Source organism: Homo sapiens, chromosome 1 (assembly GCF_000001405.40).
Source record: "Homo sapiens chromosome 1, GRCh38.p14 Primary Assembly".
Lineage (NCBI taxonomy): Eukaryota > Metazoa > Chordata > Mammalia > Primates > Hominidae > Homo > Homo sapiens.
In genome coordinates, this window is record NC_000001.11 from 169,791,680 (window position 1) to 169,814,253 (window position 22,574).

At 37.8% G+C, this 22,574-nt stretch overlaps 2 protein-coding genes across 25 annotated transcripts in view, besides 1 other annotated feature; one reads left to right on the top strand and one right to left on the bottom strand.

Moving 5' to 3' along the window:
• The window catches only part of FIRRM (FIGNL1 interacting regulator of recombination and mitosis), a 70,244-nt gene that overhangs the window by 7,843 nt on the left and 39,827 nt on the right, over positions 1–22,574 (top strand). For 5 of the 21 annotated variants that reach the window (XR_921872.2, NM_001366771.1, NM_001366770.1 and 2 more), the window contains exons 1-8: positions 3,361–3,534; positions 7,240–7,279; positions 9,204–9,292; positions 10,942–11,046; positions 11,490–11,630; positions 12,396–12,561; positions 14,325–14,409; positions 16,112–16,250. Coding sequence is in view for 15 of the 21 variants with exons in the window: in NM_001366770.1 (NP_001353699.1) it covers positions 3,424–3,534; positions 7,240–7,279; positions 9,204–9,292; positions 10,942–11,046; positions 11,490–11,630; positions 12,396–12,561; positions 14,325–14,409; positions 16,112–16,250 (876 nt within the window). In the remaining 6 variants the exon portion in view is untranslated. Of the gene's footprint in view, positions 1–3,050; positions 3,227–3,360; positions 3,535–4,149; positions 4,305–5,659; positions 5,711–7,177; positions 7,280–9,203; positions 9,293–10,941; positions 11,047–11,489; positions 11,631–12,395; positions 12,708–14,324; positions 14,410–16,111; positions 16,251–22,574 lie in introns of those variants that run through there. The other 16 variants (XM_047424751.1, NM_001320047.2, XM_047424743.1 and 13 more) reach the window with 16 other exon arrangements.
• METTL18 (methyltransferase 18, RPL3 N3(tau)-histidine) lies at positions 850–3,228 on the bottom strand. Of its 4 annotated transcripts, none has more exons than NM_001320199.2 (2): positions 3,191–3,228; positions 850–2,218 (listed from the first exon to the last, which is right to left on the bottom strand). In NM_001320199.2, exon 2 carries the CDS (start codon positions 2,014–2,016, stop codon positions 898–900), a length of 1,119 nt encoding a protein of 372 aa, NP_001307128.1. In that variant the 5' UTR covers positions 2,017–2,218; positions 3,191–3,228; the 3' UTR covers positions 850–897. The 4 variants fall into 4 exon arrangements, with proteins under 4 accessions (NP_001307128.1, NP_219486.1, XP_006711690.1 ...); NM_033418.4 differs by having other exon boundaries at positions 3,136–3,228; XM_006711627.4 differs by having other exon boundaries at positions 2,398–3,228.
• Positions 2,961–3,280: an enhancer, noted in NCBI's record as "active region_2079". NCBI's record gives its function as "activates an Ori minimal core promoter by ATAC-STARR-seq in GM12878 lymphoblastoid cells {active_cell/tissue: GM12878}" and the evidence as "EXISTENCE:reporter gene assay evidence [ECO:0000049][PMID:35858748]".

Here is a 22,574-nt window from a genome sequence, read left to right on the forward strand (position 1 = left end):
ATAAGGTTTTAAGTATTATGCAAGATACTATACAAAGTCCAGTAAATATCACATTCAATTGAATCCATGATGTCCGATTATTTTAGCTACTTCCAAGAGAGAAAAAAATGCTGTCAGTTTTACTGTTCTTATAGAGAGCAAGGCAGATCCCAATTCCCAATGTGGTAACGTGAAAATTTTTGCATTTGAATCAACAAAACACTTTCTCCTTTCTTTCCTACTATTTAACAACTGGTAAGTCTATACTCCCCCAAATCTGGAATTCTCCTTTCTTATTCTTTTTCCTCCTACCAAGACCGCAGGATCTTTTACTTGGCTATAAGGGGTAAACCTCAAGTAGTACAAGTTCTCTGTATTACTTTTATACTCTGTCACAGATTCCCTTTGTTTCCTCATCTCCATGTGAATTTAGTTAAATTCTCAGCATTCTGATCCTTACTATACAAGGTAAATGAATATAAAAACAAAACGAAACAAAAACCTCTTCCTATTTACATAAGGCCCCAACCTAATATTTAGTGATATATATTAATGTGAACAAGGAACTAACGAAGACTGGGAAGAAATTCACAGACTTGAGAGAAGAAATGGCAGGATTTCCTGGGAACAATTTCATGTAACGTCAAAGGTGGTAAAAGGTCAAATAGAATGAAGATGGAGAATACCGGATTTTCTTACAAAATGATTTCCCAGGAGATCTCATCAAATGCACGAGGATACCTTCTCAGTTTCACCTAGTGAGTAAAAGACTGGTAACATAGCTCACTTACAATTTGGATAAACAAAACTAAACAAACAACATCAAAATTTCAGAAAAAATAATAGCAAAACAGAAATCAAACACTCAAATTTTTGGTCCTTCTGTTTATTTCATTTTGGATACTCAGTGAATGTTAATTAACCAGGAAACTTAAAAGTTATTTCAATTATGAACCTCTTCAATCCTTCATCAATTATTTTGAGTATTCTGGTCTTAAAAACATCTCTTTCTTCTACAAACTTCTGAAAGAGATGAACACCTCCACCTACACCAAAATAATGTGCTTTGCTGGCCAAAAGTACACGTCCATTTTTACTTAACAGTCTAAGGAAAGTCTGGTGCAAATTACTATAATAATCTGGGTTGTAAATGGTTTCTGAGGTGAGAATGAGATCATATTTTACAAAAAGTTTTTCACTACTTAGTACAAGCTTACAAAACTCAGACCACTCACCAGAAAAAAATCGGCATTTATATAGTTGTGTTACTTTTGGTTTCCTGCATCTTTTCACATCTGGCTCATTTACATCATTTTCTTCATCTTCCAAAGTGGAGTTAGCTACTACATTAGGTAAGGTTACTTCATCAATCACCATACTGTTATAATCTTGAAAGTGAATTTCTTTGGACCCTCCCTTGAATGCAGTTATACCTAGTAAACCTGATCCACAACCAAGATCCAAGACTTTTTTCCCAGCAAATTTCACTTTGGCCTTTGTGAAATAAGCCAGGAGGTCAAAGGTACATTCCCAGATTTTTAAGCCTCCCTCATAAACACCTGTAATCAGATCAGAGTGAGAAGAAAAGCTTTTTGAAACTATGTTTTCTCCAGGGAAGTTCTCTTTCAACAAGATGGTTTTCACTACTGATAACTTAACATGCTGGAAACCTGGTAATGTTTCTATGACTTTATTTTCTAACATCTTCTTTAAATCTTTAGGCATAGCATGCTCTTTGGCAGCTCTCAAGGAGGGCTGTTTTCCATGTGGCTCCAAGTTCCTTGAACTGCTGGCTGCACTGAGTGGACTGTCTGTGTCTTGAGAGGGAGCTGCATTTTCCATTGACTTATGTTCCCACAAGTGATCCTGAGGCAAGTCAAATTGTTCTGCAGAACATTTTCTGTCCCTCTCTTCTCCTTTTTGACTTTCTGAGACTGACAGCTCTTTTGAGGAATCCAGGGTCAAAGCTCCATCTCTAATGGGTGTTAATTCATTTTCCAGATGGTCTTCTATAGTGAAATTAAACTGAAAGGTCATCCTCTTATTAAATGCACACAATCTTTAAATTCAGATTCTTCAACTTCTGGATAGAATTTGATGATACACACAAATCTGCCTCAATTATTCAATTAGTTTTGTTGGGCCCAATTTCTCTTTAGCAGCTTATACATGGTAACAAATATTTAGAGATATTTCCAAATGACTTTTTAGACGTCTTTGGTCCTCTTTCCAAGCAGCTCTGGAAAGAAAAAAAAAAAAAAAAGAAAGAAAATGATGATTAAAGCAAAATGGCACATTTCACTAAAGTGTAATATTAAACAGCCACCCCCACCCCTCCCTGTCCCACCATACAGCTGCTTTTTCTTAAAAAGTTGTGGGGAAGAGAGAGAGATAAGAGATTTGGACACTCATACACACCTTAAGGGTTCCAAAGTGGGAGAAGAAAATCAACTATAAAAACAAACAGAAGAACAACAGCAACCACCACCACTACCACCTGGACAAACATAAAGTCCAAGATATTCAGACAGGACAGCCTAGCTACTTGCTGTCTTTCAGCTGTCTTGATTTGTGTCCAACCATATTCACCCCCTAAGCTTCCAGAATAACTTCACTTCTGTCTTTTACAGAAGAGGTGCAGTATTTTATTTTGGTAAGTCAGCGTCCCTTTAAAAACATGCATAGGTATGGCCTGGTGTGTGTAAATTCATCCAAGACTTCACTCCAAACATTTAGTCGAGAACAGCAGCCCTAAGTGTATAGAAGTGGGGGTAATTTGGCAATAATTAGTAAAGACTAATTCGGTGGCAGAGCAAACGCAAACTAGGGCACTGCAGTAGTTTGGAGAGACCTGTAGAAATAAGAAGCAACTTTATTGAGAATCTTCTATCTACTGCGCTAGACACTATACCATCTGCCTCAATTTTCACAGTTCTGGCAAGTGGGATCTTTGTTCCCTTTATACAAGATTTACAATTTGGGGGAGAGGCGGGTCACCCAGTCCCGCGGCTAGGAACGCGCCTCTTTCCTCTCCCATCACGCTGCAAGGCTTGGAGTCACTTCCGGCTGCAGGTCCCGGAACAAATCCGACCCCAGAAGTGGGGACTTCTGGCCCTCACCTCCCCATTTGAATGTAATGTTTACAGTGATCCAGACCTGGGGATGCTTGCTTCCCGACGTGTCCTGGGATCGCGCTTCTGAAAAAGCTCACCTCACAACGCCTCCTCCGGACCTAAATCGCGCACCAGTGAGTCGAGTCCTCCAGGGGCTAGAGAAGCCCGACTTTCTTTCCGGCCTTGAGGGACCCGGGCTCACCAAGAAACCAGCCGCCCTCCTCTCTATGGTTTTGGAGCCGGCGGAGAGCGCGCAAGGGTTGGCGGGACTGCGAGTTTCCGGTCTGGGCTTTGGCGGGTCTGGTTTGAAGCTCTCCTGTTTGACGAAAGTATGTCTCAGGAAGGTGCGGTCCCAGCTAGCGCGGTTCCCCTGGAAGAATTAAGTAGCTGGCCAGAGGAGCTATGCCGCCGGGAACTGCCGTCCGTCCTGCCCCGACTCCTCATATCCTTCCTTGGTTGTCACTTCTACCTAGAGAAGGGTGTGGGCGGGTCGCGAACCTTTCTCTTCTGTCCCTTCAGACCCACCGCCAGGCTGGGTTATATTACCGCGGCCTGAACCCCCTCTTTTCTTTGTCAGTGAGTGGGATGAAAAGTGAGGGACTGGAGGGGAAGCGACAACCGTGGTAGATTTAAGTAAGGCTTTGGCCCTGGAAAGCCTCGCGGACGTGTTCTGACCCAAGGTTTTAGCAGTGGATGTGGCGTTTTCTTCCATTCCTTCTTTCAGTTTTTCTGTACTCGTTGCTTGCAATTAAGTGTAAATACTTTTGCTAGTGGATAATGGGGGAGGCAAGGACTGAGACCTGCGGTATGACGATAGCTCTGGCTCTTAATAGTTTGAGGTAAAGCGAGATACTCTGAGCTTTTGTCTCCCGTAAAAAGGGTGGTGAATATGAATAAGGGCTTTCTTAGCGTTATAAGAATTAAAGGGCATAGTTCTGTGGTGTGAAATCTTTAAAAGATGTTCAGTAAATAAAAATGATTTTCCTCCTTCCCCTCTCAGACCTCTTTTTCTTCTTTCTTTCTTTTTTTTTGACAAGTTCTCACTCCTCTCACCCAGGCTGGAGTCTTTCTGAAAGAGTTCTTCCGCTTGTTGTTGGCTTTCAACTGTTGGATTTGAGGCGCTTAGCGCCTTCTTCGTCCGGGTGCAGCACATTCTTGATTGGTCTCATGCCTTTGTGGTTGTAAATGTGCCTGGAATCCTAGCCTTTCATGGTAAACCATATGTATATGTATCTTTTTCACAACATTTGAGCCCAGCTTTATACAATTACACTCAAAAGAAAAAAAGTAACCTTCACTTGAGAGAATCTCAATACTGCACAAATATTGTGCAGCTAAAGCCCTATGTAATCACATAGAAGTCATTCACCTAGGCATTAGCAAAATCTCAGAAGGTGCCAAAGCCCCCTTTTTTAGTTTTTGTGTAGGTACAGAACTGCCGTCTTCAAGGAGTTTCAACTTGAAAACAAATAGCCACCCTCAAAACATTCAAAAACACTTAAACTGCGTGCATAATGTGTGTGAGACATGGTGTTAGGCTTTGGGAGAACAGAGACACGGAACGTGATTCCTCTTCTTCCCCACAAGCTTATAGAGAGACTTCATTAAGTTGAAAGTCAACATTCCCACCTAGCTTTGCACTTCAAACGACATATTCAAAAAAGCCCAAACTTCCTCTAGTTTTCTTCATCTGAGTAAATGGTTTCACAAACTGAAACCTTGAATCCTCTCTGTCTCACACACCCGATCAGTAAGTTCTATTGTTTCTGATTCCAAACTATGTCTTGAATCAATCCGTTTATCTCCATCCTCATTGCTACCACTCTGATTCCAAACCCTTATCACCTCTCACTTGGAGTATTAATAGTTTCCTTGTTTCTACTCATAATTCATTATTCCAAAAAAGTTAAGAGGGGAAAAACATAGATCTCGTCATTTCCCTTTTTAAACCACTTTACCTTCAAGGTTCCAGGTGATCTAAGCCTTGCCCTTCTCTCATACCTAGTTAATTAACTACACTCTGTTCATGAATACATTAGGCTCACCTACCTCAAGATCTTTTTGCTCAGCCTGATTTGTTCTCTCAGCCTTTTGCATATTTCATGTTTATGTCTTGGCCCAAATGTCACTTCCTTAGAGGGGCTTTTTCAGAGCCTTCAATCTTAGGCAGTTCCCCCAAACGCAGTCTTACACTTGTATCACATTGGCCTGTTCAGTTTTCTAAAAAGCACATTACCATTAAAAGAAATGCTCTTGTTTGCTTTGTATATTTTCCACTTCTACACATTATGTTGCAAAGTTCATAAAGGCAGGATGTTGATTTTCTTCACAGCGTTACCCTCAGCACCTAGAACAGTGCCTGACACATAGTAAGCATTCATTAAAGGGCTAAAAATATTTCATGTTTTAAAAATACTTGGGAGTCTAATTAGACAATACTTTTTTTCAGCTTAATGGTAGTATTTTAGCTTCACTATTTTAACAAATGAAAAATTTGCAATAAATCTACAATGCCATTACCCCCCAAAATCTTTTTCATGTTTTGCATTTTACGTATTATTTTCCAGGCCTTACCTGCATGTCTGCATAATCATAACTGACTAATTTTGGAACAGCTGGTAATTATTTGAGCTTTACTGAAATTTTTTCATGAGGCCAATTCTACCCTACTGAACTCAAATTTGAGTTAATGATGACCTCATTTTGATTGCTGCTGTAAAAAATAAGATTTCGGAAGAGGAATGAATTCTTGTATTACTGTGGTAGGACTATGGGTTTTTTTTTGTTTGTTTGTTTGTTTTGAGACGGAGTCTCACCCTGTCACCCAGGCTGGAGTGCAGTGGTGCGATCTCAGCTCACAGCAGCCAGGTTCAAGTGATTCTCCTTCCTCAGCCTCCCGAGTAGCTGAGATTACAGGCACGTGCCACCATGCCCGGCTAATTTTTTGTATCTTTAGTAGAGATGGTTTCACCATGTTGGCCAGGCTGGTCTCGAACTCCTGACCTCGTGATCCGCCTGCCTCAGCCTCCCAAAGTGCTGGGACTACAGGCGTGAGCCACCGTGCCCGGCCGGGTTATTCATTTTTCTTATTAACATTCTTTGATGATTCTTATGGTGTTGTTACAGTAAAACATTTCTAACAATTATTCTAACAATTATTCTTGATGGTGTATATGAAGAATTTATTGTCGTGTATTTGTAAGCTGCTATGTGCAGAAGAATTTCAGTCAAATAAAGTTGGTAAGATAGGTATGTAAGTAATATGAAAAAAGATAGAAGGTGATGAGTGACTTAGGTATAAATTAAGTACAATAGAAATGTTGAGGAAAGAAAAATTTCTTGTAATAGAAATCGGAAGTACAAACTGGGCATGGTGGTGTGCATCTCTAATCCCAGCTCCTTGAGAGGCTGGTATGGGAGGATCACTTTAGCCCAGGAGCTTGAGGCTGCAGTGAGGTGTGATCATGTCACCGCACTCCATCCTGGGTGACAGCAAGACCGTCTCTCTTTTTTTTTTTTTTTGAGACGGAGTCTCGCCTATGCTGGAGTGCAATGGCGCGATCTTGGCTCACTGCAACCTCTGCCTCCCAGTTTCAAGTGATTCTCCTGCCTCAGCCTCCTGAGCAGCTGGGATTACAGGTGTGCGCCACCATGCCCAGCTAATTATTTTGTATTTTAAGTAGAGACGGGTTCTCACCATACTGGCCAGGCTGGTCTTCAACTCCTGACCTCTTGTTCGCCCATCTAGGTCTCCCAAAGTGCTGGGATTACAGGTGTGAGCCACCCCACTTGGCCCCGAGCGAGACCCTCTCTCTAAAAAAAAATAAATAAATAAATCATAAACCTGTGGATTATTGTAGCATTGTTTCTCATCTGTCAAAAATATTTCATGACTATGCATAGTTTGAAAAGGCAAGTTTGTCCCTGGGCAATTTTCAAAATATTTCTTTAATGTGTTTTCACAATACTGTTTACCTAATAAATCTTAAGTTTTTAAAAGCAAAATTAAGCCAGTAATTTGAGTCCAATTCCAATCTCTTATGAGTCATTGCTTAAATTTCAAAAGGGTTTTATTTTTTTTTTAGGTTTGTTCTGAGTAATGAATACCCTATTACTATGATACTAGTATCTTCCTTAATTATCCTACTCATTGTCTCAACATTCTGACAGTTGGATTGAGCATATTCGTAAGTAAAATTGTTTTAACTGTATGATGTACTTTGATGTTAAGGTCCGAGTCCCCACATACCTCGGTAGATGTGTTCTTACAGTTTTGTATTCCCTTGAAATGTAACTGTTCTCTATGTTACAGCCTTTATAACCTTCAGTTACTTGAAATGAACAAATTCATTCAAATTCCAGCACTTAAAAGTTTTAAATTACATTTTGGATAAATACCAAAGTGTTTTGTTGATGATGTATGTATAAACAAATTGTAAATATTAAACGTTAGTTGTTACGATTAGACCTATATAAAACATGATATGCAGTCTACTGAATAGCTATCAGCCTCTAACATGTTTAGTGTCATTTAGAAAATGCTTTCTAAATTGCCAAAAGCTGATTGTCTAGGTGATAACAAATTTACCATTTGGAGGAAGTTGACTTTCTCATTTTCATGTCTTCATCAGTCTTACTTGATGAGATTCATTCTTCTAGTCAGAAGAGAGTTTAGACTGCTCAGTTTACTCATATTTTGAGTTAGCTTTTCTATTTAGAGTTCACTTGGTTGTGGAATATTCATTTATAATTTGAATCTACGTTGTGTAATGGGACCTAATTTTTTTTTCCTTTGTTTTTGTTGGAGTCTCGTTTTGTCACCCAGGTTGGAGTGCAGTGGCGTGATCTTTGCTCACTGCAACCTCCACCTTCCAGGTTCAGGTGATTCTCCTGCCTCAGTCTCCCAAGTAGCTGGGATTACAGGCATGCTTCACCACGCCTGGCTAATTTTTGTATTTTTAGTAGAGATGGGGTTTCACCATGTTGGCCAGGCTGGTCTCAAAACTCCTGAGCTCAAGTGATCCTCCTGCCTTGGCCTCCATAAGTGCTGGGATTACAGGCGTGAGCCGCTGAGCCTGGCCCCAGAGTTTGTTTTGTTTTGTTTTCAAGACAAGATCTCACTCTATTGCCCAGGCTGGAGAGCAGTAGTGCGATCATAGCTCACTGCAGCCTGAACTCCTGGGTTCAAGCTATTCTCCTGCCTCCATCTTCTAAAGTGCTGTGATTACAGGTCTGAGCCATGATGCTTGGCCTGTGTTTTTGTTTGTTTGTTTTGGGGGACAGGGTCTTGCTTTGTCACCAAAACTGGAGTGTAGTGGTGCGAACATAGCTAGCTCACTGCAGCCTCCATCTCCCACGCTCAAGCAATCCTCTCACCTCAGCCTTCCAAGTAGCTGAGACCGCAGGTGCGTGCTACCATGCGTGGCTAATTTTCTATTTATATATTTATTTTTTGGTAGACATGAGGTCTTGTCATGTTTCCCAGGTGGTCTTTAACTCCTGGGCTCAGACAGTCCTCCCGCCTCAGCCACCCAAAGTGTTGGGATTACAGGCGTGAGCCACCATGCGTGGCATAATTTTTTTTAAGTAAATTATTTTTTTATCTTGAGTATAGAAGTGATTCATGTTCATTGTGGAAAATATGAAACATATAGAAAAACAGAAAAGATTACAAAACATCTAATCTGAAATGGTTAAGATTTTGATGAGAACAGTCTCATCTCATTTCCGTATATTCCTGCCAGCCTATCCATCATTCTTCGTACATGTTTATCTACATTAAAATTGGTGTTATATTTTGGAAACTTTTTGTTTAACTACATTGTGAACATTTTTCATGTTTTAAAATGTCATTTTAATGATGGCAGATCCTATTCAATAGATGTACACACACCTATTTAACTGGTCCACAATTGTTGGATATGTAGGTCGTTTCCTTTCTCTCTTTTTTTTTTTTTTTGGCTACTACTTAATAGTTTCTCTGTATAGAATGTGGTATTTTGAAAGTGTATCAAGCTTTAGATTGGTAGTATTCTTGCATTTAATAAAGGGCAGTGGCCTTTGTTGACTGACATGACAATATTTTTATAAAATTTGTTATTTGCTTTACAGAAATTTTGAAAATTATTGTAGAAATGTTTTTACCTCATATGAACCACCTGACATTGGAACAGACTTTCTTTTCACAAGTGTTACCAAAGGTATAATACTATTACCTGAAAATACATGTTATAAGGAATCTAGCCTCAGTCTTAGATGATTTATTATTAATTATGGCTCTCTTTTTCTAATATATCAAATATATTCAAAATAAAAATAAGGAGTAAGTAGATCTCATGTGAGACTATAATGGTGTTAGTGTGATCATTAGGCAGTTAAAAACTGTTACAGGCTGGGCACGGTGGCTCATGCCTGTAATCCCAGCTCTCTGAGAGGCTGAGGTGGGCAGATCATCTGAGGTCAGGAGTTCGAGACCACCCATGGTCAACATGATGAAACCTCGTCTCTACTAAAAGTACAAAAAATTAGCTGGACATGGTGGCAGGTGCCTGTAATCCCAGCTACTTGGGAGACTGAGACAGGAGAATTGCTTGAGCCTGGGAGGCGGAGGTTGCATTGAGTCAAGATCGTGCCATTGCACTCCAGCCTGGGCAATAAGAGCGATGCTCCGTCTCAAAAAAAAAAAAAAAAAAAAAAGAACTTATATTTTCAGATTGTGTGGTTCCTTTACTAACTGAATTTAAATTATTTGTAGTCAATTTTAAATGCTCTTGTATTTTAAAGCCACTGTACTCCAGCCTGGGTGACAGAGTGAAACCCTTAATTCAAAAAAAAAAAAAAAAAAAAGAAAAGCTGGAATATTGGCAAAATCAAGTAACTAAGAGAAAACATTAAATTCACAGAATACATTATTACATTTTAGATATATATGGTATATGTTTTCTCTGAAAAGCACAAGCATACCTTTTTTGTTTTAAATGGAGGGAACTAAAGATACTTTGGTGCCAAAATGAAACATTATTTGTAATTAATCTCTTATTGAAATGGGTTTCTAACTTTAGCTTTGAATCGTAATCTTTCAAATTTCTTGTACTCATAGTCACTTGATGATTCTCTATCTGAAATATTTCTTAGAATTTGTTCTTGACCACCAGAAAAAGATTCAACTGTTACATAGATGAAAATGGATGTTGAGTGTTAACAGGCCTATGGGAAACAGTATTTTCTTTAGCTACATTGTATTGTTGACTGTGTTGCTATTCTTATAATGTTTAGGTCATTTAAATTGTTAGAAAGATCCAAGTATTAAGATCTAGGGTGGCTAACTTTTCACAGACAAAAAGCTTGTTTGTAAGGTCATTTACTATACCCTTAATTCAGGAAGGTTAGCTTGAATTGGGTCAAAAGGAAACTGGTTAGAAAATAAGTGAGTAGTGAATAGGCGATTCAGTGCAAATTCCTTCCAGAAAATACCCTTGTAAATGACTGTATGAATGTGGATTCTTCAAGACAGTCAAATTTATTGTGCGAAAGTAATACTTTTATTTTTTGCATCTCTAAAACATGAACTTTGAGTGATTTTTTAAAAAAATTGATGCTATTAAATAGATTCAAACCATAGAAATGGAAAATAAATTTCTGTTTGGGGCTTTTGGGGGGATTATGTTGTAAAAATACCTTTTCTCTGTATTTTGTGCTTAATTAGGTACAATTGTTAAGCTAGATGATAGCCTGTGGATGTTACTAGTGCAAAATCAAATTATCGTATTGTGTTTTCTCTGTAAAGTTTTGTCTTGTCTTTTCTAGTGATTTCTCTTATTCCTGTTTATTACTTGATTTGTTTTTACAGACTGTGAAATTATTCGATGACATGATGTATGAATTAACCAGTCAAGCCAGAGGACTGTCAAGCCAAAATTTGGAAATCCAGACCACTCTAAGGAATATTTTACAAGTAAGTCAAATGTATTAGAAAGCAGGAGAGAGAGGGAGCTTAAAGAATGTCAAAATTTTTATACTGATACTGATTAGCTATGTATTCTTATGTAATGGCCTAATGTTGGAATTAAATTTATAGAATTAAAGACGTGAATATAGAAACATGAATTCTGAATAATAAACTCTTATAAGAAGAGAAGTCATCAAGCTAGCTGACCCTACCTGTATTTTCAAGGATATGTGTGGAACACCTGCCATGTGTTTTGAAGTTTGTGTTAGTATTCTAAATGGCTAGACAGTTGTTCCAGTATTTGTAGTTCTGATAGACTAAAGTTCTGTGAAAAGAGGAAGAGACTGTGTTTTGTTCATTGCTGTATTTGTAGCACCCAGCATGCTGACTAATACCTTTTCAGTGCACAAAAAATATATTCTAAGTGAAATTTCCTTCCTTATTCACAGACAATGGTGCAGCTCTTAGGAGCTCTCACAGGATGTGTTCAGCATATCTGTGCCACACAGGAATCCATCATTTTGGAAAATATTCAGAGTCTCCCCTCCTCAGTCCTTCATATAATTAAAAGCACATTTGTGCATTGTAAGGTGAGTAAAGGTCTAATTATACTTTGAATGGTATATAATCAATGTGCATAGGGGCTGAGTAAAATAATGTTTGTATAAGATTTTACATTTTAGTCTATATTATTGAAATAAACTTTTCCATAGAATAAAGAACATGTAAGTAAATAATTGTTGCAAAAAAAGTGGTTTTAAGGAAGTCATTAAAAGTGGCTTTTTGGGGTTTTTTAGTTTTATCTTATTTCCCCTCTATAAAGAAAGAAGTTTTAAGAATTTGTGTTGAGACAGACACAGGGATCCTGAAATAGTTATGTCATGTTGCATTGACCAATATTCAATTACCATTATGATTAGATGTCAGAACTTCCTTTTATAAAGGAAAGTTAATCCTTATTTAGTCCATCTCTACATGCCAGAGGTAGCCTTGAGGCACAAAAGCTTGCCTAGAATTTATGGGTCACAGACAGTTTTAATATTGCTATTTGTTGGGCGAATGAAAATCACTAGTTAATTAATACCTCTCTTTGCTGATAGGATGCTAAAAATGTCACGCACCTGGCCTAATGTTACCCTTTTTTAGTTCTGTATTTGCAAGATCATGGAAGTCAGAAATAATATTTTATACATGCTTGCATCTCTTGAAGCACACTATATTTAATGGATGTTCACTAAACAATGAATGAATATGTGATTCAGTAAATTTATGATCTCTAATAGTATGAATTAAAGTAAATTTGGCTCTTGAGCTTTGATTTGTTTTTTCTCTCATTTTTATTTATCCGTAATCAGAATAGTGAATCTGTGTATTCTGGGTGTTTACACCTAGTTTCAGACCTTCTCCAGGCTCTTTTCAAGGAGGCCTATTCTCTTCAAAAGCAGTTAATGGAACTGCTGGACATGGTTTGCATGGACCCTTTAGTAGATGACAATGATGATATTTTGAATATGGTAATAGGTGAGTGAAGAAAACTTTCTGCTTAGTATATGGTGACTATAAATCATGTATCAATTAAAATTGTCTCTAATGATTCATGTTATTTTCTTACTAATTATGCATTAAAATTGATTTAAATCTTACCAAATAAATTTTTAATCTTGAAATTTGGAATTTGTAAAATTTATTTTGGGTACCTTAACCTAGATTTGCGTATTTAGTTACTGTAATTTCTCCACAATGATTAACTTATATAACTTTATAATCTCTGAGGTTGTCCATATTCAGAGACAATAACTTTCACATTTTTTTAACCATAACTGATATTGAGATGCAGTTTATATTTCCTTCCAGAATACATATAAATACGTGCATATGTGTATGTAAATATGTCTATTCTCATATACATATTATAATGAAATAACTCATTTTACATGTGATGCACTTTATACTAGTTTATTTTTATTTTATTTTATTTTTTTGAGACAGAGTCTCACTGTGTAGCCCAGGCTGGAGTGCAGTGGCACAATCTCGGCTCACTGCAACCTCGCCTCCCGGACTCAAGCGATTCTCCTGCCTCAGCCTCATGAGTAGCTGGGATTATAGGCGTCCGCCACCACACCTGGCTAATTTTTGTATTTTTAGTAGAGACAGGGTTTCACCGTGTTGGCCAGGCTGGTCTTGAACTCCTGACCTCAGGTAATCCACCTGCCTCAGCCTCCCAAAGTGCTGGGATTACAGGCATGAGCCACCGTGCCCAGCCAATACTAGTTTATTTTTAAAGAATTGCTGGTCGTAACACACTTCATTGATTTTATCACTCATTAATGGATTATGAACAAGAGTTTGAAAAACAATATAAAGGCAAAGTTTGCATTCAAAACTTTGGTATAAAGAGAGTAAGTTGGTTTTGTGCAGTGTATCAGGCACCTGTTGCTCTGCAACACACCACCTCAAAATCTATTTATTCACTATTTATTTATTCATGATTCTGTGAGTCTGCAGTTTAGGGTGGGATGTCCTGAGACAACTTTCTCTGATCCACCTGGGGCACTAGCTCACCCATGTGACTTCAGTGACTTCATTCACATCTGGCTGTTGGCAGAGGCAGAAGTACTTGAGAAAGCCATGTGCATCATCCAGCAGGTTCACCCTATCTCAGATACCTGATGCCAGTGGTTTCAGGGTTTCTAAGAGTAGCAAAAGTGTGAGCAGGTCGCTGTGTGCTAGCACTTTTCAAGTTTCTGCTTGCCTTAATTTTATTATTGTCCCCCGGGCCACAGCAGGTCATAGCGTTTAGCCCAGAGTCATTGTAGAAAAGTGTGGATTCACAAAGGGCAGTCATTGTGGCCATTTTTATAAATAATCTACCACAGACTGAGTAAAAGCCTTGCATGAATACCATGGATATTAATTTGAATTCTTCCTTTTTAGATTTTCTTTCCTTAGCAATTTGTTTTGTCATTTTGGATTAGAATTATATCTGTAGAATATTTCAGTTATAATAGGGTACAACTTTTATTCCACTGAACATCTTTAGTTTTATTTAGGTCATCTGGTAGGTATAAACTTCAGAAGTTAATATTCAATATTTATAAAAACCATTAACAAGTGTGACACTTAAATAGTTTAAATAATTCTTTTGACACAACTGTTTCCAAGTTGTGTTACGTATTTTAATTCAATCAAATGTTGAAATTGTTCAGTAGATAGTTTTAATTATAGGAGAAACTCACCCCCATGACATTTGGATGTCTTAAAAGTTCTGTTATCTTTCTTTGCAGTTATTCATTCTTTATTGGATATCTGCTCTGTTATTTCCAGTATGGACCATGCATTTCATGCCAATACTTGGAAGTTTATAATTAAGTAAGTTTGTTTGTTATTTTTTACTTTTTAGAAAATGTTTTCCATATTCCCCAATCTTAATTATTCATGATTCTTTAGATTGCATTTAAAACATTTTGTGTGAATTTAATGTTCACTGACACTGCTGTCTGATAATCCAGATATTCTACATGTAGCTCTCAAGCCAAATTGGACTTCTTTACCCTGTGGCCTCTAAAATTAAAAAAAATGTTCTTCCTAGTTAGCTAGTACTTCAGAAATAATGGGCCATGGGCCAGACTAGAACTTAACCACTTTTCTTCTGCTACTGTTGTTTAACCAGCTATCAAGTATCCTATTTCTAGGATTAGATAAATTGATAACTATAATTAAAACTGAATATAATCTTTTCATTAGGTACTTTTAAGTTGTTCACACTTAATTCCATTTGTACAGTAATTTTAACTTTCTGAAACTGAAGCATTTTAAAGGGTCACCAGGGATAGTGCCTGTAGCATTCATCAGATTCTTAGGGGTGAGAGGAGATGTGGTTGAGATGTAAAAATGGTTAAGAATATCTACTTTATACACATACATAAAACATTAAAGGTCAGTGTATTTTCAGGTCTTAGGTACTTTTCTTGTACTACCAGGACATTAAGTTGCCATTCAGTGGTTAAGAGTGTTGCCTGGGAGCTGTATCACATGTGCTTAAATCCATTCTTGAAATCATTTACTCCTTCTGAGCCCTTGGGCTATTTGGTTAATTTCTCTGAACGTTAGTTTGCTCATCTGAAAATGGAAATAATAATAGCAACTTCTTGACAGGGTTATAGTGAGAATTGAGTTCATCACTGTGAAATGCTTAGAAATGTGCATGACACATAGTTAATACTCAAGGAATTAGCCACATCACTATCATCATCACTGATTATCTTCCACTCTTACCCTCTTCCAGTTCATTTTCTGCCCAGCAGAATGATCTTTTAAAAAGTAAATCAGATCATGTTACTCTATTGCTTGAAGTCTATCCCATTTGATTAAGAATAACAACCTAATCCTCTGTGGATGCTGCCTCCTTCACCAGCCTGTCTCATGCTGCTCTCCCTACTCTTAGTTCCTCAAACATACCAAACTCTCCTGTCCCAGAGTCTTTTCGTGGTTTTTCCATCTGCCTAGGATGCTTCTCTCTCCTATTTTGTGTACCTTGCTAACTCCTGCTTACTGTCTTTCAGTTCTCAGCTTAAGAGTTATATCTTCATGATAACATTCTTTGATATCCTTACCCTAAGATTAAGTTAGATTGATATCCTTACCCTAAGAATAAGTTAGATTAGGTCTCTCTATTGTAGCACCTTAGACTCTGTCATTTGACAAATCACAGCCCTAATTAATTATTCTTAAAATTATTTAACATTCTCTCTCATGCTAGACCACAAGTTTCATGCAGGTAAGGCGGAGATTGTGTCCATTTGTTTGACCCCTTTGTCTCCAGGGCCTGGTAGAATGCCTCATACATAGTAAGAATTCAATTAATATTTTACACAGAGAAAAAATTAGCAACTTATTTAAACAAATATAACTGCTTCAGAGGTAAACTGGGCACATCTTAGTTATATTATGTGATATATGATGCTTTTTGATTGTTTTTTTAAATGTTCTACAAGGTAGATATTGTTAGAGGTCCTAAGTTACTTGATGTGTTACTTGTGGTGATTGTATTCTTTTCTTTTTATTCATTTAGGCAGAGCCTTAAGCACCAGTCCATAATAAAAAGCCAGTTGAAACACAAAGATATAATTACTAGCTTGTGTGAAGACATTCTTTTCTCCTTCCATTCTTGTTTACAGTTAGCTGAGCAGATGACACAGTCAGATGCACAGGTAAAATTTGGGCTAATAGCATTTTAAACAGCAACTCTTATTTTCTTTGGCAGTTAGTAAATCTCATTTGAATGTCTGGGTCAGTCTATTTAAGAGGATTTTAATTTATTTCATTTGGGTGTTTTTTTTTGATCTGTGGGATTATTTATATCCCATAATTACTTTTCACCCAGAGCATTGTATTAGATTCCTAACTGCTGTCATTGCCTCTGGGGTCTGCCTGGCTCCCTCTTTGCTTGGTAACTGGTTGGTCACAGCATTCTTCTCAGAATCCTTTCATTCTTTTCTGCATGAGAACAAAAATTCTTTTGTTCATATTTGTATAAGATCTGATATAGCTGCAATCAATCTTGCATTTTTTCTTCACCAACGCATTGCGACCTTTAGGGATACAAGTATGTTTGTGCATGTATATGTATGTATCAGTCTTTTAAATTTGATATAGTCATACATTTGTTTTTATTTTGAAAAGTTAGAGTGTTGAATTGGTATCCCATTTATGAAACATTATATTCTAAAAATTTGTAGTACGATTATTGGGAATTATAACTCATTTTCCTGTAACACTGTTATACATAGTACCTTTTGCTTTCAGACTAGCCCTCAATTTTATTTAACTATAGTAGTCCTAAATTATAAGATTAATAGTACTCAGGACCTAACAGTTATATGTCATTTGTTTTTTTTTTTTTTGAGATGGCGTCTCACTCTGTCACCCAAGCTGGAGTGCAGTGGTATGACCTTGGCTCACTGCAGCCTCTGCCTCACGGGTTCAAGGGATCGTTCTGCCTTAGCCTCCTGAGTAGCTGGGATTATAGGCGCCTGCCACCACGCCTGGCTAATTTTTTTAGTAGAGACGGGGTTTCGCCATGTTGGCCAGGCTGGTCTCGAACTCCTGACCTCAGGTGGTCCACCCGCCTTGGCCTCCCAAAGTGCTGGGATTACAGGTGTGAGCCACCGCGCCCAGCCTATATGTAATAATTTTAATGGGACCATGAATTGAATATTTCTTCCTTGAATAGCAATGACATAGCCCCTTCTATTGTACATCTGCAAGCTGATACAGGGAATTCCTTTGTACCTGCGCTCTTCCCTGCCAGTCAGCTATGGGGGTGAAAGTGTAGGGGTTCATCCAAGTCCTAAAACTGGTAGCAACTCCTAGGGCAGGGCTGATCTGGAAGGACAGACCCTAGGGGAGGGTGGAACTTTAAAAAGAAGTTCTGAAGGTAGTAAGAAGGAAATGAGGAGTAGTGTTAGGAAGGGGCTAACTTTTTTCTTCTTGCTTCTCTTCTTTATCTCACCTGCCCCTCCCCTTGTATCCCTTCTTCCTTTTTCCCTTTCCTTTTTTGTCCTCACTTCATTCGTGCATCCTTTCTGATTCCTCTTACCTTGCTAAAAGGAGAAGTTTGTTTGGGTATCCTATATCAATGGCAGGAAGGTTGTTTTCTTCTTTACCTTTATCCTATAGATTCATATTCTCAACACCAACCTCCTCCTTTTTCAGTTTCCTTCTTGCTTCTCTTGACACCACAGAGTTTGCAGCTAGTACTTGGAGAGGAAAATTAAACAGAGATACTTGGACCAAGAGTAAGATGAAGAAAGTCTAAACAACAGTATAGTCTATAGTGGCAAGAGAGAGTATGGGGGCTGCTTAGCCAGGGTGGCTGTACATAAAGTATATCTTCAGTTTATATAAACTGCTTATAGATGGAAATCAGAAAATTTAAATTCTCTTAACTGTCCAAGAAAATTCTCATTTTTTCAAATTTGGGACTGATAAATGTGACCAGTTCTGCTTACTGTCCATTGCCTGAAATGGAGCTTTGAGGTGGACTGTATAATTTCTTCAATCTTAACTCCAAATTCTGATCAGCGACGCCCTCTGCTGTTCACTATTAATATTTATTTACCAATCAAAGTAAAGTATTGAAGTTTTCCTGGCAGTTTTCACTTTGTGTTTTAGTCCATTTAGGCTGCTATAACAAAATCCCTTAAACTGGGTAAGGGATTATAAATATTAGAAATTTATCTCTCACAGTTCTGGAAGCTGGGAAGCCCAATATCAAGGCACCAGTAGATTTGGTGTCTAACGAGGGTGTGCCGTCTGCTTCAAAAATGGCCCCTTGTTGCTGCATCCTCACTTAGTGCAAGGGGCAAGACAGCTCCCTTCAACCTCTTTTATAAGGGCACTTATGTCATTCATGAGGGCAGAGCCCTCATGACTTAATCACTTCCCCAAAGGCCCCACCTCTTAATAGTATCACATTGGGTGTTAGGTGTCTGGGAGGACACCAATCTTCAAGCCATATCATCTCACTTGGAAAAAAGTCAAAATAAAACCAGTAGATTTAATTAATATTACACTATTTATAGAAGCATGTGATGTATCATTCCTTGTATTAATTTCCTGGGGTTGCCGTAACAAGTTACCACAAACTAGGTGGCTTAAAACAATAGAATTTTATTCTCTCACATTTCTAGAGGCAGAAGTTCACAGTGTGTCAATAGGGCCATGTTCTCTGGAAGGCTTTAGGGGAGAATATATTTCATATCTTTCTCTTAGCTTCTCGGTGTCACTGGCAATCCTTAGCTTACTTTGGCTTTCTGTGTCTTCACATCATCTTTTTATAAGAACACCAGTGATAGTGATTAAGGGCATACCTTACTTTAATATGACCTCATCTTAACTAATTATGTCTTCAATAACCCTATTTCCAAATAAGGCCACATTCTGAAGTATTGGGAGTTAGAACTTAAAGCTTTTTGGGAGGGACACAGTTCAACCCATAACAACCCCTAAAATCGATATTTATTCTCAATTAAGTCTTGAAATTGGTTTCAAAAAGAGAATATTCTATTAGAGTTTTTAATGTATAGTTTTAACATATAGTTCTTTAGCCCCCAATTTTTTTTTTTTTTTTTTTTTTTTTTTTTTTTTTTTGAGACGGAGTCTCGCTCTGTCGCCCAGGCCGGACTGCGGACTGCAGTGGCGCAATCTCGGCTCACTGCAAGCTCCGCTTCCCGGGTTCACGCCATTCCCCTGCCTCAGCCTCCCGAGTAGCTGGGACTACAGGCGCCTGCCACCGCGCCCGGCTAATTTTTTTGTATTTTTAGTAGAGACGGGGTTTCACCTTGTTAGCCAGGATGGTCTCGATCTCCTGACCTCATGATCCACCCGCCTCGGCCTCCCAAAGTGCTGGGATTACAGGCGTGAGCCACCGCGCCCGGCCTGCCCCCAATTATTTAGTTTTTCTATAAACAGGGAAATTTATTTGTGTGGCCCTTAGAACTAATTTAATTTCCACTCTAATTCCTACTTATGTTTATATAATGCTTTTAGAAATTTGTATTATTCAGAAAATAAACATATACTATTGTATCTGTTGCCTACACTTAGATTTTATTGCCTGCTATATTTAAATTTTATTAGTATTTTAATTGTTTTATTAAAGAAAGAATGTGCCTGTAATCTCAGCACTTTTGAGAGGCCAAGGCAGAAGGATTGCTTGAGCCCAGGAGTTTGAGACCAGACTGAGCAACACAGGGAGACCCCCATCTCTACAAAAAATAAAAAAATTCTCCAGGCCTCATGGCACATACCTGTAGTTCTAGTTACTTGGGAGACTGGGGTGGGAGGATGCATTGAGCCCAGGAGATTGAGGCTGCAGTGAGCCATGATCAGGCCACTGTACTCCAGCTTGGACAACAGAGTGAGAGCTTGTCTAGATAGATAGATAGATAGATAATCTAAATAGATAATAGACAGATTATCTAAATAGATAATAGACAGATTATCTAAATAGATAATAGACAGATTATCTAAATAGATAATAGACAGATTATCTAAATAGATAATAGACAGATTATCTAAATAGATAATAGACAGATTATCTATCTAAATAGATAATAGATTATCTAAATAGATAATAGATAGATAGATTAGATAGATAGATAGATAGATAGAGCTTGGACAACAGAGTGAGAGCCTGTCTAGATAGATAGAAACAAAGAAAGAAAGAAAGAATGGTGCTCATATTTTAAAGCATTGAAAAATGGTCTTCCTTGCTTATATTACCCACACCTTCTTTGTTGGCATTAAGATGCAAACTTTGTTTTAAACAGTTGAGTAAATCAAAGATGGGACTGTTAAGTTATTTGTGTTATTTACCTGCTTTTTGAAAATGTAAAAATAAAACTCTAGGTTTAATTAGTAGTATGCTATTTAGTAATGAAGTAAAGCTAGAGGCTTCGAACAAATCTTGTGTAATTTCCTCTTGAATGAGAGAGAAAATTTAAAGTAAGCAAACAAATAAGTTGTGTGTCACCACTCATTCAGTCATTTAACAAGTATTTCCAGAGTACTTATTCTGTGCCAGGAAATGTTGTAGGTGCCCTCAACAACTTAGAGTCTAGCCTGAGACACAAGTAAGTAGGTAATTATTATAGAATGGTATGATCTTTGGAGGACTGGGTATTGGCTGGCTCATGGGAGTACAAGATAGGTACCCAGTGATGAAGTCAGGAAAGGTTTCTTATGGTGATATGATGACGTCTATGCTGATTATAAGGTCAGTGTAGAATAAACTTTGTGCTTTTAAATTTGCATAGCACTGTATTAGAGAGTTCATCTTCAAAATAATCGAAAAGGCTGAGTGTGGTGACCCATGGCTGTAATCCCAGCACTTTGGGAGGCCGAGGTGGGCAGATTGCTTGAGCTAGGAGTTCGAGACCAGGCTGGCCAACATGGTGAAACCCCGTCTCTACTAAAAATACAAAAATTAGCCAGGAGTGATGGTGCGCACCTGTAATGCCAGCTACTTGGGAGGCTGAGGCAGGAGGATCACTTGAACCCAGGAGGTGGAGGTTGAAGTAAGCCGAGGTCATGCCACTGCACTCCAGCCTGGGCAACAGAGTGAGACTCCATCTCAAAAAAAAAAAAAATGATCAAAGAAAGGTGAATTTTCATCTACCCTATTTCTGCTGAGGAAAATGGACTATTTTCAAATATTTTTAATAAGGGTCAAAATGAGGGATCATATTCCATTAGCGAACCATCCAACTCTGTTTTGATTTGGTTTAATGAAGATTTTGCTATATTGGAAAAGAAACATAGCCAATCAACATATAAGTTAAGATATGTTATTTTCATATGAAATAATTCACAAATTAAAGACAGTAATTTATTTGACTTAATTTTATGGCACTATTTAAAGCTGTTTGGATTATAGTGTGTATTATAAACTTGGGTGGTGGAACAACCAATATTTATTGAGCTAAGTTGCTTAAACGTCAGACACTGTTTAAATCTCACAATAATCCTGTATTAGCCTCATTATAGATGAGAAAACTGGGCCACAGAAAGGTTTAATAACTTTCCCCAGATCATATAGTAGTTGTAGTAGGACCAGGACTTAAATCCAGGCAGATGAATCTATAGCCCTCCCTGCATATTATTGGCACTACCCACTGTTTTATCAATTTACAAATGTAATACGTAATCAGAAAACTCACACATATTACACAAGTATCTAACATGGAAGGTTAAATCCTATTTTCGTCTACTAGAAAGAATCACAGGAAAGGTTTTGATTTATTTTGGGGGTGGTTTAACACATTTAAAAATAATGATAGGATTGTGTTATCATTAGAGTCAATAGACAAATCTCTGAAAACAGAACGTTTTATTTGGGAGGAAGTAATTGCACTTTGGAGCATTCATGCAGACCAATTGTTCGGTATGTCCACAGAAAAAGGAGAAGGTTAGCGGTCTTATAAAAAAGGAGACATATTACATATAGCTCTTCAAGAAAGTCCATTGGCACTAGATTTGGGGAGCTGTCAAGCTCTGATTGGTGAGTGATGGCAGTGGGTAACACTGGTCTTAGAGTTGCACTAGTTTCTTTCAGTAGCCCTTAGATAAAACTGGTTTCCGGTTACAGCAGGCAGTTTCAGCAGCCAGGCCTACAGAGAATTACATTTTGGGAGAAATGTTTTGTGCCCTGAGTGCTTTTCCCCTAGGCCTGTTGACTCTGTTTTAGTTGGGTATGACAAGAATGACTCAATTTTTGTAATTAATTTTACATTATACAAGTTGTTTACAATTTGATTTTTTACTTAACAGTTTATCCTTAGGGCTTTCTGTGTCCATGAAGATATATGTACCTGATTCTTATGTGATTATACTATAAATTTATAGTTGACCCTTGAACAATGCAGGTCTGAACTGCACAGGTCAACTTATGCAGACTTTTTTAAATTGTCATTTATTACCATAAAATAATACAAATCTATTATCAAAGGTTAAAATTTATCAAAACTTAGCAC

Excerpts from the sequence above, each read along its gene's own strand:
- METTL18 (NM_001320199.2), bottom strand. The coding sequence starts at position 2,016 with ATGACCTTTCAGTTTAATTTCACTATAGAAGACCATCTGGAAAATGAA.